Source organism: Homo sapiens, chromosome 8 (genome assembly GCF_000001405.40).
Source record: "Homo sapiens chromosome 8, GRCh38.p14 Primary Assembly".
Classification (NCBI taxonomy): domain Eukaryota; kingdom Metazoa; phylum Chordata; class Mammalia; order Primates; family Hominidae; genus Homo; species Homo sapiens.
Window position 1 is genome coordinate 69,688,767 of NC_000008.11, and position 13,626 is coordinate 69,702,392.

The window sequence follows — 13,626 nt, forward strand, 5'->3', positions numbered from 1 at the left end:
TTGCTATTGTGAATAGTCCCGCAATAAACATACGTGTGCATGTGTCTTTATAACAGCATGATTTATAGTCCTTTGGGTATATACCCAGTAATGGGATGGCTGGGTCTAATGGTATTTCTAGTTCTAGGTCCCTGAGGAATTGCCACACTGACTTCCACCATGGTTGAACTAGTTTACAGTCCCACCAACAGTGTAAAAGTGTTCCTATTTCTCCACATCCTCTCCAGCACCTGTTGTTTCCTGACTTTTTAATGATTGCCATTCTAACTGGTGTGAGATGGTATCTCATTGTGGTTTTGATTTGCATTTCTCTGATGGCCAGTGATGATGAGCATTTTTTCATGTGTCTTTTGGCTGCATAAATGTCTTCTTTTGAGAAGTGTCTGTTCATATCCTTTGCCCACTTTTTGATGGGGTTGTTTGTTTTTTTCTTGTAAATTTGTTGGAGTTCATTGTAGATTCTGGATATTAGCCCTTTGTCAGATGAGTAGCTTGCGAAAATTTTCTCCCATTTTGTAGGTTGCCTGTTCACTCTGATGGTAGTTTCTTTTGCTGTGCAGAAGCTCTTTAGTTTAATTAGATCCCATTTGTCAATTTTGGCTTTTGTTGCCATTGCTTTTGGTGTTTTAGACATGAAGTCCTTGCCCATGGCTATGTCCTGAATGGTAATGCCTAGGTTTTCTTCTAGGGTTTTTATGGTTTTAGGTCTAACATATAAGTCTTTAATCCATCTTGAATTAATTTTTGTATAAGGTGTAAGGAAGGGATCCAGTTTCAGCTTTCTACATATGGCTAGCCAGTTTTCCCAGCACCATTTATTAAATAGGGAATCCTTTCCCCATTGCTTGTTTTTGTCAGGTTTGTCAAAGATCAGATAGTTGTAGATATGCGGCGTTATTTCTGAGGGCTCTGTTCTGTTCCATTGATCTATATCTCTGTTTTGGTACCAGTACCATGCTGTTTTGGTTACTGTAGGCTTGTAGTATAGTTTGAAGTCAGGTAGTGTGATGCCTCCAGCTTTGTTCTTTTGGCTTAGGATTGACTTGGTGATGCGGGCTCTTTTTTGGTTCTATATGAACTTTAAAGTAGTTTTTTCCAATTCTGTGAAGAAAGTCATTGGTAGCTTGATGGGGATGGCATTGAATCTATAAATTACCTTGGGCAGTATGGCCATTTTCACGATATTGATTCTTCCTACTCATGAGCATGGAATGTTCTTCCATTTGTTTGTATCCTCTTTTATTTCAGCAAGGCCGGTGGACCCCGCCCCGCCCCTTTGCGGGTACGGGGGGGCGCCAGGGGCCTCCCACTTATTCTACACCTCTCATGTCTCTTCACCATGCCAGACTAGAGTCAAGCTCAACAGGGTCTTCTTTCCCCGCTGATTCCGCCAAGCCCGTTCCCTTGGCTGTGGTTTCGCTGGATAGTAGGTAGGGACAGTGGGAATCTCGTTCATCCATTCATGCGCGTCACTAATTAGATGACGAGGCATTTGGCTACCTTAAGAGAGTCATAGTTACTCCCACCATTTACCTGTGCTTCATTGAATTTCTTCAATTTGACATTCAGAGCACTGGGCAGAAATCACATCGCGTCAACACCCGCCGCGGGCCTTTGTGGAATGGTGCTAAAATATTTAAACAATGGAGAAAAAACTCTTAAGTAGATTAAGCTACCCATGAGACACAGGCAAGGAGATGAATGGTTTGAATGATATAATTGAAGGATTTAGGAATGACATGGCCAGAAATGCCAGTCAACTGGGAGGGCTGGTCAACTATCTAAAGACACCATGTTGTCCTACGGTAAAATCAAGTGTGGTGAAGAGGAAGCTGAGTTGTGCATGTGGCAAAGGTCTGAATTAACAGACTGTATTTATTTAATTTCTATAGTCTGAATACGATGGGGCAATAAAGCTATATTCAGAGAAGATACTTTAGGGAAATATTTCGGAGCTGGGTGGAACTGAGTGAATCATCCTGTCCAACAGTCTCGGCCAAGAGCAGAAAACTGAGAAAACTCTTCCTGGTCATTTGGTAGCTCAAGAATCACCCCTGGAGAAGTTTCAGCTCAGTAGCTCAAGTCACAAACCCAGATAATATAATAGATTTTGCTTTAAGTTCAAAAAGATGACAATTGATAAATGAAAGATAGTCATAGACAGTAAGTAAGTACTAAGTGATTCATCAGCACATAGCACTGGTTAAAAAGTCTTTATACAGACATCAGACTTAACCCCATTTAAAAAATTATTTGAAGAAAAGGCAGAGTGAGGGGCAATAACTCACATTACACAATGGATTTATGTAAAGCATCACTTAACCAAAGTTTTCATGGTCAATGCCAGCTCTTTCGGGTCCAAGGTGATTAGGACACACCTGTATGAAGTACAGTCTGGCAGCCACAGAGAGGAAGCAAAACACATTTCTTAATTAAAACTGGAGGAAAATTGTGAGTGCTGGGAATGTAATTATGTGAGTTGGAAATGGGCCAGGATTTTGCTAGAGCTCTCACGATCTTTCAAAATGAAAACTCATCAGATTTTTAAGTCTGAAGTTTCTGTTTTATTTTACGGTGGTTAGAATACCTAACATGAAATCTACCTTCTTAACAAAGTTTTAAGTGTACAATACAGTATTGTTGACTCTAGACATGATGTTGAACACCAGATCCCTAGAGCTTATTCATCTTGCTTGATTAAAACTATATGGCTCCTGATTAGTAACAACCCTTTTCCCAATCGCCCCAGCCTTGATGACCACCATTCTAGCTCTTTGAGTCTATGAACTTGACTCTTTTAGATACCTCATGTAAGTGAAATCTGTGACCAGCTTTTTTCACTCAGCATGATGTCCTCAAGGTTCATCTATGTTGTTGCATATTGCAGAATTTCCTTCTTTTTTAAGGCTGAATAGTGTTCCATTGTATGTATATAGTCATGTGTCACTTAATGACAGGGACACATTCTGAGAAATGCATCATCAGGTGGTTTCATCACTGTACAAATGTCATAGAATGCACTTACACAAACCTAAGTGGTCTAGCCTACTATACTCCTAGGCTATACAGTATAGACTATTGCTCCTGGGCTACAAACCTGTACGGCATATTTGTGTACTGAATACCATAGGCAATTACAACACAATGGCAAGGAGTTGTGTGTCTAAACATAGGAAAAGTACAATAAAAATAAAGTATAAGGCCGGACGCGGTGGCTCACGCCTGTAATCCCAGCACTTTGGGAGGCCGAGGTGGGCAGATCACAAGGTCAGGAGATCAAGACCATCCTGGCTAACACAGTGAAACCCTGTCTCTGCTAAAAATACAAGAAAATTAGCTAGGTGTGGTGGCGGGCGCCTGTAATCTAAGCTACTTGGGAGGCTGAGGCAGGAGAATGGCATGAACCCGGGAGGCGGAGCTTGCAGTGAGCCAAGATCGTGCCACTGCACTCCAGCGTGGGCAACAGAGTGAGACTCCATCTCAAAAAATAAAAAAGTATAAAAAATAAAAAATGATACACCTGTATAGGGCATTTATCATGAATGGAGCCTGCAGGACTGGAATTTGCTCTGGGTGAGTGAATGAGTGAGTGAGTGGTGAGTGAATGTGAAGGCCTAGGACATGACTGTGCACTGCTGTAGTCTTCATAAGCACTGTACACTTAGGCTACGCTAAATCCATTAAAAACCACAGTTCTTTCTTCAATAATAAATTAGCCTTAGCTTACTATAATTTTTTTACTTTATACACTTTGTAATTATTTTTTAGCTTTTTGACTCTTTTGTAATAGCACTTAGCTTAAAGCACACATTGAACTGTGGTGCAAAAGTATTTTTTCTTCATATCCTTATTCTATAAACTGTTTTCTTTTTTTGCCGTTTTAAACTTTTTCTTAAAAACTATGACACAAACACACACATTAGCCTACACCTACACAGGGTCAGGATCATCAGTATCACTGTCTCCCACCCCCATATCTTGTCTCAAGATCTTCACGGACCATAACATGCATGGAGCTGTCATCTCCTAAGATAACAATGCCTTCTTTCGGAATACCTCCTGAAGGACCTGCCAGAGGCTGTTTCCCAGTTGACTTTTTTAATACGTAGAAAGAGTATGCATTAAAATAATGATTAAAAGTATAGTATAGTAAATGCATAAACCAATAACACAGGTGCTTATTATCAAGTTCTATGTACTCTACACAACTACATGTGCTGTACTATTGAAGGACTGCCAGCACAGTAGGTTTCTTTACACCAGCATCACTCCAAACTCATGACCAACGCATTGCACTTCGACCTTATGACTACAATATCATTAGGCAATAGGAATTTTTCAGCTCCATTACAATCTTACAGGATGACCATTGTATATGTCCATCATTGACTGAAACATTGTTATGTGATGCATGAACATACCACATTTTCTTTGTCCATTCATCTGTCTATGGACATTTAAGTTGCTTCCATATCTTGGCTATCAAATCTGAATTTTCTAAGAAAACCACTAATAACACATCAGGTTCATTCTACAAAAAGACTGTGATTCCATTTTGGCTTCACAGGAAAAGCTCATTCTCCTAAAACATCCCAACCCCATCTCAGGCACTTAGGTGACTTATGAGTATTTGATACTAATCAAAGATGGGTCAGTCATTAAGTCTTTTCACCATGCCTGTAAACCTGAAGCCCTTCACATAAACTTTAATGAATGGAACTGGCTTATATAGCATGCTTTCTTCTTTGTATTTTTTTCTTCTGTCAAAATAGTGTAATAATCAAAAGTATTGCAGCATTGCATCCAGAACCAAAGAAACCTAATTTCAAACCCTAGCTCAGCCATTTTCTAGCTGTTTGACTTCAAGCAAGTTATTTAACCTCTCTGAGACTTTATCCTCATTAATAAGGAGAAAAATACCATTAAATAGTTATTTATCAATTGCTTACAATTTATGAATTTTATCCCATTTTATCCTCCCTATAATCCTAAGAGATGAGTACTATAATTGATCACATCTTAATGTTGAAGAAATTGAGGCACAGAAAGGTTAAAGAATTGGCCAAGTATCTTACTCAATCCTCACATCAATCCGACTAGATAGATACTATCTGTAGTCTCACCTTAAAGATGTAGAAACCAAGCCCAGAAAAGTCAAATAATTTGCCCATACTCAGACAGCCAGTATGTGGCAAGGCTCAGGTGAAAATCTAGACTGGCTGATGTGAGAGCCACAGAGCAAATGCTGTAGGCATGCACAGCATGTAGCACGATGCCTGTAACTCAGCTGCTTTGAAATATCAGAAAGCCATGCAGTATTGAGAAGTAGATACATCCCCAATAGCTCATTCAGCAAGAAGGTTGTGTGTGCATGCAGGTGCGTACGTGCATGAAATACACAATTTAAAACAGCACCTCAGTGAGGTGCTCAGAAAGAATGCAAACTCTGACATAAATCATCTAGATCTGATTCAGCTCCACTCCTTATTAACTGATGAGTTTGGATAAATCACTTCATTTCTAAGCCTCAGGTTCTTTAACTAAAACATAGATAATAATATAAACAGTAGAGGGATGTTGTAAGCATAAGACATGTGTAAGTGCCAATCACACTGAACCAAACATGTACCTTACAAAGACTCCTCTCTTCACTGCCACTCCCTTCATCTTTCTCTTTATTGACTTGAAAGGGAAAAAAGCCACATGCAAGTCTTAAAATCATGCAGAACAAGAAACAGTTTTTACTAGGCAGGCCAGCCACATACTGTTGAGCAGGTTGTACACTGCACAAGGGCACCCAGCCAAGGGAGCAAAGCTGAAATGTAGCTCACACCCTGCTTGGAGAAAGGATTCCATTTTTGTTCACGCAAAGGTATCTGCTACTCTAAAAGTGGCACGCCTATACAGCCGCACCACCCAGTAGTGTTTTCATTAAGTCATTCTAGACTGTATTCCTAGGACTTGAGAAACCAGAAAAATTCTCCATGGAAACTGAGTTATTCCTTTGCTACAATTTATAAAGTTCCTTTAAAGTCAGACTGCAAATACTAAAACAATTGGGTCCTTGCAGCAGCTTCCAGCACTCTTAGTCAGGTTACTTGTTCTAGATTGAATACAACTAAGTGAGAAAAGGTGTACTGTAATTCATGGATTAGATAATAAAGATGTAAATTTCCGTCGAGTTCATAAGAGTTGCAGCCTCACTATATGAGTAACATCCCTGAGCAGAGGTAGGTGCCAGACATTCATTCATCTGTTAAAGAAGAAAATGGAATTGCTCTGCATGATCCAGAAAGGAAGGGAGTAGAGATAAGAAACTAACTTTTTTCAGCATATACAAAGTGCTAGATTCTGTGCTAGGAAATATGAGAAACTTCCCTGTATCATCCTCATTATCAAAACTACAAATGTTTGTTTAAAATATTCACATGATTTAAACTAAAGGTTGCCAGGCATCGTGGCTCACATCTGTAATCCCAGCACTTTGGGAGGCAGAGGCAGGCGGATCACGTAAGGTCAGGAGTTCAAGACCAGCCTGGCCAACATGGTAAAACCCCATCTCTACTAAAAAATACGAAAATTAGCCGGGCATGTTGGCGGGACCTGTAATCTCAGCTACTCAGGAGGCTGAGGCAGGGATAATTGCTTGAACCCAGGGGGCGGAGGTTGCAGTGAGCCGAGATTGTGCCACTGCACTTTAGCCTGGATGACAGAGCGAGATTCCGTCTCAAAAATAAAAAATAAAAAAAAGAAAGGTTGAGGATGAGAAAAGGAGACATTGACTTCTCTCTTTTTTTTTTTAACCCTTCCGCACTATTTTAATGTTTTCAACCAAATGTATAAGTAATTATGCTGGTAACCAGGAGAGATGAACTTTAATTATGCTTGTAACCAGGAGAGATTGACATTATCACCAATTTTATATATGAGAAACCCAAGACTCAACAATGGTATGTAATTTTTTTGCAAGGTCACACAGTTAGGAAATGATGGAGCCAGTACTTGCCTTTGAAAACAATACTGTGTTAGACAGATGAGTTTGAGGGGATGGAAGAAAGAAGTTCAGAAAGTTCATTCTTCATAACTTCACCTGTAACTAATATGGGCTACTAGGTTGTCTGCTAAGAAAAACAAGACCAGGGTATGATAAAGGACTTGAAGAAATGGGTTTAAAAATAAAAACAGAGCCACCATCATGGGCATGAGAAAGAAAGCTGACTGGGATGAAGTAAATGGATTGCTCAGCAAATATGAGGTCCTGCTAAGATTGGAACTCATACATTTGTAATGGAGCCAATCAGCACATTATGTAATTTTTTCCCAGCAGTGCTGGGCAAGCCCAGCAGCAGTTGATTCAGGATGGGTGAGGTAGGTGTGGTGTTAAGCAGGGGCTTTAAGAGTCTTGAGGAAACTTGCTGTTTAAAAGCAGGTAAGACGTGGACTGTGCTTTCCGTTCCCTTCTGAGAACACACTTGAAATAAAAGCAGAGTAGGGTTAAAAGGAAAGCATGACACCAAACTCCACAAAAATGGCAAGTAGATAGGCATGGGTTTATGTGAGACAGGCAGAGGCCGCCTTGGAGAAAGAGGAGCCAGCCTGCCCGATCGAATCTCCATGGGTTCTGAGCTCAAAGTGAGCAGATGTGACAGAAGGCAAAAGTGAGATGTGGAGAAAAAACTGTGGGCCTCCCTGGAGATCTAAGGAAGACAAATTGTATCAGTGAGCCCTTCCATTCTCATTTATCCGTTGCCTCCCATCTCCAATTTACGGCCCAGAAATTCATCAGGAAGTGCTTCTCTAAGGAACCTGGAAGAAATTTAAAAAGCTAAACTTCTACTCTAGATGTTGAGAACTCTGAATAAAATCCCCTCATTCTTGTATTTGAGGTAGAGGGAGAGAAAAGACACGATCTGAGATATGTTAGGCTGAGTATTGTCATCTGCAAAGCCCAGAATAAACAAACAGAAAAACTGATTCTTTAAAACAAAATGATAAAATGCAAGGCATAAAAACAAAGTTAAAAGAAAGATCCTAATTATATGTGCAGAGAGATCTGAGAAGACATTACTCCATAAAACAACACCAGAATGCTATGAAAAGGGAACACTCAGAATCCAGCAAAGAAAAAAATCCTCAAAATAAAAAATGTACATAAAGATAGAAAACAAGGCTTAAAAAAATCTCTCATAGCAAAAGACAAAAGCATGCAATATGAGAGAATAAATTAAACACACAGGCAACCAGTCCATACGTTCCAACATCTGACTAACAACAGTACTAGAGAACACAGGGAAAAGAGAAAATGAGTTTAAAAAAAAAGACATATGTTGCATTAAAAGGGTCAGAAAGTGCCTAGTACAATGAATGAACAAAGCCCTGTGCCGAGGCACTCATTCATTCGTTCATTCATTCATTCACACAACAAATATCATACATATTTTAGATGGTGAGGATGCAACTGTTATATAGATAGCTGGGCCAGGCATGGTGGCTCATGCCTATAATCCCAGCTACTCGGGAGGCTGAGGCAGGAGAATCGCTTGAACCCGGGAGGTGGAGGTTGCAGTGAGCCGAGATTGTGCCACTGCACTCCTGCCTGGGCGACAGAGCGAGATTCTGTTTCCAAAAAAAAATTATATATATATACACACACAGCTCTACGAACAGTGCCCAAAGAGCTCATATTTTAGACAGAGGGGACAAAAGCAAAGCAAATCATTAAATGAGATAATTTCAGATAATGTTAAGTGCCATGAGGAAACTAAGGAGAAATAATGTAATCAAGAGTGGGGGGACAGCGGGCTCCCCTAGATTGGGCAGAGATGGAAAGCCTCTCTGAGAAGGTGGCATTAGGATTATAAGAAGGCTCCATCCATGACAAAATCTGAGGGTAAATCATTCCTTAAGAAATTTCACAACACCTTGAAAAAAAGTATTCTGAAAACTTCCAAATAAAGTTAGCCACAGAGAAATGAGAACTAAGGCTGAAATTACATTTCTTATCAGCAACAGAACATGCTAGATGACAAATAAAGCAATGGTTTCCAAGTCCCCAGAAAGATAATTTTTTTTATTTTTACTTGTTTGTTTGTTTCAATTTTTTTAAACTTATTTTAGGTTCAGGAGTACATGTGCAAGTTTATTATACAGGTAAATTATGTGTTAAGCGGGTTTGGTGGACAGATCATTTCATCACTCAGGTAATCAGCACAGTACTCAATGGGCAGTTTTTCCAACCTCTCCCTCTTCCCACCCTCCAGTGTTGACCCCAGGGTCTGTTGTTCCCTTCTTTGTGTCCATGTGTACTCAGTGTTTAGCTTGTAAGTGGGAACATGCGGTATTTGGTTTTCTGTTCCTGTGTTAGTTTGCTTAGGATGATGGCCACCAGCTCCATCCATGTTGCTGCAAAGGGAACGGTCTCATTCTTTTTTATGGCTGCATAGTATTTCGTGGTGTGTATATGCCACATTTTCTTTATGTAGTCTCTTATTGATGGCCATTTAGATTGATTCCATGTATTTGCTATTGTGAATAATACTGCAATGAACATATGTGTGCATGTGTCTTTATGGTAGAATTATTCATATTCCTTTGGATATATAACCAGTAATGGGATTGCTGGGTTGAATGGTAATTCTGTTTTAAGTTCTTCGAGAAACCATCAAAGTGCTTTCTACAATGGCTAAACTAATTTACACTCCCACCAGCAGTGTATAAGCATTTCCTCTTCTCCACAACCTTGACAGCATCTGTTATTTTATTACTTTTTAGTAATAGCCATTCTGACTGATGTGAGATGGCATGTCACTGTGGATTTGATTTGCATTTCTCTAATGACTAGTGATGTTGAGCATTTTTTCATATGCTTGTTGGCTGTGTGTATGTCTTCTTTTGAAAAGTACCTTCTCATGTCCTTTGCCCACTTTTTAATGGGGCTGATAATTTTTTAACCTAGAATTCTACGCCTGCTTAAACTATCACTTCAATGTGAAAGAACAAAGATGCTTTAATATGCTCACAGGCTCAGAAATACTTTCTTCCCATGTTCCCTTTCCACGGAAGTTATCTGAGGTTTTTTTCTGGCAAAATGAGGAGTTACCAAATAAATAAACAAACAAAAACTAGTGGATACAACTGACGAAACTTCTGAAAGGAGGTCCCAGGATGTAAGTTATGTCAACTGAGCAAGCAGTCCAATGTGAAGCAGGAGGATGGAGTTCAGGGAAAGAGGAAGATTCAGTAAAACAGAAAGCGTGAATGAGAACTTAGGAAAACATATGGACATGATCAAGGCAAGTAGCAAGAGAAAGAAGAGGCCCTTAGACCTTGAGGACAGTAACACAAGAAAGATATAGTCCATCTACGACACAATTTTAAGCAAATTCCCATCCCTTCTCTACTTAGGTAACTGCTCCTTCCCTCATACTCCCTGTTTTCTGGAGAAAATGCACCAAAGGCTCTGGCATAAGAGCACCACACATAAAGGAGAAGTTCGGTGAGATGCTAGAATGATGACAGGGAAGTTAGGTAAAAGCCTGCAAAATGAACAGTGAGGACCCAGGCCCGTTCCCCCAACTCTCAGCTCTAGGATGCCAGCAGCAAGGCTTACAAGCCTGTAGTCCTCCCCAGCAGGGCCCTAGCAGGAGAGAAAGGAGCATCCATCTCTTGAGGAACTGAAGCACCTCAGAGGTAAGCCCTTGGGTTCTGACACTGCAGCACCCTGATGAAAACTCCAGTTGTATCCACCTCCCACAGCGAGACCCACCAGATGACAAGACCTACCCTCACACACACACACAGCAAACTGCTCAGCTTTTTAAGTTCTCATTCTTCAATACCATGAGCAAGCTAAGGATCACCAGAAATTTGAGCAGAGCTGCTAACACAATCAAGACGGCAAAATAAACAGAAAGTTAGGCACTTATAGGACACAGAGACAAATTAGGAAAGAAAAGGAAGTCTAAATAATGTTGGAAAAGTAAGAGAAAATATTCCACTCATAAAGCAAGATGGTTAGAAACAAGGGACATTCTGAAATCCAGCAAGAATTTTGCAATTAAAAATATGATAGGCTGGGTGAGGTGGCTCACGCCTGTAATCCCAGCACTTTAGGAGGCCAAGGTGGGCAGACTGCTTGAGCTCAGAAGCTCAAGACCAGCCTGGGCAACATAGAGTGACCGCATCTCTACAAAAAATTATCCCAGTGTAGTGGTGGACACTTGCAGTGGATGAGGTGGGAGGATCACTTCAGACCAGGAGGCAGAGATTGCAGTGAGCCATGATCGTGCCACGGCACTCCAGCCTGAATGACAGAGCAAGACCCTGTTTCAAAAAAATAAAGATGACAGCCAAAATAAAGAATTCAACAGAGGACTTAGAAGATAAAATGCAAGAAATCTTTTTTAAAAGTAGAACAGAAAAGGACATATGAAATGGTGATAAATAATAAGGAAAGGAGGATATGAGAGTAATTTGGCTGTGACACCTGCCACCGCATTGATTGTCAGGGTTGATTCAGCTGATCTGGCTGAATAGACGGGTGTGCCCCTGCCTCCCTCACTGCTCCACCTGCGTCCCTCCTGAAGCTGCACACTTGGTCAAAGAGGGCAACCTTCTCTGACAGAGGAGGATCATTCTTTGGTCAAAGGCATGCAAAAAGTTGCCAGTATCCCCAAACAAGAACAAGAAAAGGAGAGATCAATGAAGGGGAGAACGAGAAAAAATGGCAAGGAGAAAAAAGAAATTAAAAACAGACCTGAAAAATAATAGTCTCCAGTCAGAAAGAGCTCACCATGTGCCTAGCAAAAAATCAAAATGATCCATCTCAAAACACATCATAGTAAAATTCTGAAATACTAGTAATAAAAGGAAGCTCCCAGGAAGGAAAAATACATCTCATACAAAGCATTGGGAAAAAGAAAAGCCAGACTTCCAAAAAGAGCATTAGAAATTAGATGACAATGGGGCAAAAACTTCAAAACTCTGAGTAAAAATGACTCATCCAAAATTTCAGCCACCTTGGCAATCAAATGTAACGGTGTGTATGTGTGTGTATATATTTATATATAATATTTATCAATATATATAATAAAAAGTCTCCCAAGAAACCAAAGTTACAGCCTACACAACCTTTTTGTAGCTACTGGAGGATGTGCTCCATCAAAATGAGGGAGTAAATCAAAAAAGAGGACTCCACAGAGTCCAAAAAACAAAGGATCAATACAGAGAGAGGCACAGGAATTCTCAGGATGACAGCCGGGCAGCCAGCCTAGAAACATTGTGTCCAGATGAGAGTAGGGGGACTGTGGGCCCTGCACAGATGACTCCAAGGAGTGGGGAAATGGAACTCTGAGCTCATCAGATAAGTGGAAGGTCATGTTGAGATACTTTTTGAGCTCTCAGAGGGTGTGGGAAACTGGATGCAGATTCAAAGAAAGCAAAGTAAATGAAAATAAGGCAATTATTAATTCCAGGAAAATCAGTGTTACACAAATAAGGAAATCTAATCATGATACTGTAAACCAAAAATAAAATTCTAAGGCCCCCCAACCAACTCAATGGACTTCCTTCTCAGCCAGGGCTATTTAAAATTTAACCTGAGATATTAGTTCAGACCAGGATGGGAAGTGGGGAGTCTGGCATGACTCATTATACCTCTCCAACATTAACATCAACACAGACTTGAAATCTGATAAGAAACATTTTACAGTCTATTCTCTCTGAAGCCTGCTACTGGAAGACTTCCTCTGCAAGTAAGAACTTGGGTCTCCACAGTCCTTTATCCTAACCCAGACATTCCTTCCTATGGATCCCAGGTCTTTAGATAAACTCAACCAATTGTCATCCAGGAAATTTTTTAATCTACCTAAAAGCTGGAGGCCCCTGCTTCGAGTTGTCCCGCCTTTCTGGACCAAACCAATGTACTTCTTAAATGTATTTGATTGAAGTCTCATTTCTCCCTAAAATGTATAAAACCAAGCTGCACCCCGACCACCTTGGGCACATGTTCTCAGGACCTCCTGAGGGCTGTGTCCCAGGCCATAGTCATTCATATTTGGCTCAGAATAAATGTCTTCAAATATTTTACAGAGTTCGACTCTTTCCATTGACAATACACATGTCATAAATTTAACATGAAAATACAAAAAAAGGATTTGACCACAATTTGTAAAGGTAAAGTGAAGCTCCTCATTTGCCAAGCTAGGAAGTCACAAATAATACCTTAGTTTGATTAATTTATATAGTATTTCTGAAAAATACAGAGTCACATTGTAGAAGAAACAGCTAAAAAGAATTTAAAATTATTGCCCCTGCAAATCAGAGCTAGTCATAAGACTGCTGGGTTTTTGTTATGAACTTTTTAATTCTATTTATGTTCTCTAATTTTAATAAAACATAATTTGATAGAAATAAAAATTATTCTTAATTTATTAGTGATGACTAATGACAAGAGCTAGCCTTCAGTGCCTCACACTGAGCTGAGAGCTTTACATGTGTTACACACATAACCCTTGCCCACAACCTTCTGAGATTGCTGCTAACATCACCCCAATTTACAGAAGTAGATATTGAGGTTTGGCATTAAGCAACCAGCCAAGCAGAGTCAAGATCCAAATTCTAATTCCA

At 40.0% G+C, this 13,626-nt stretch overlaps 1 protein-coding gene and 1 pseudogene across 3 annotated transcripts in view, besides 1 other annotated feature; one reads left to right on the plus strand and one right to left on the minus strand.

Moving 5' to 3' along the window:
- Window positions 1-13,626, minus strand: part of SLCO5A1 (solute carrier organic anion transporter family member 5A1) — a 167,933-nt gene that overhangs the window by 21,721 nt on the left and 132,586 nt on the right. The window lies entirely within an intron of this gene.
- Window positions 1,268-1,562: a silencer, noted in NCBI's record as "tiled regions #11728 and #13723; K562 Repressive DNase matched - State 24:Quies". NCBI's record gives its function as "represses a minimal TATA promoter and a strong SV40 promoter by Sharpr-MPRA in K562 cells {active_cell/tissue: K562}" and the evidence as "EXISTENCE:reporter gene assay evidence [ECO:0000049][PMID:27701403]".
- On the plus strand, window positions 11,458-11,729 carry RN7SKP29 (RN7SK pseudogene 29; annotated as a pseudogene).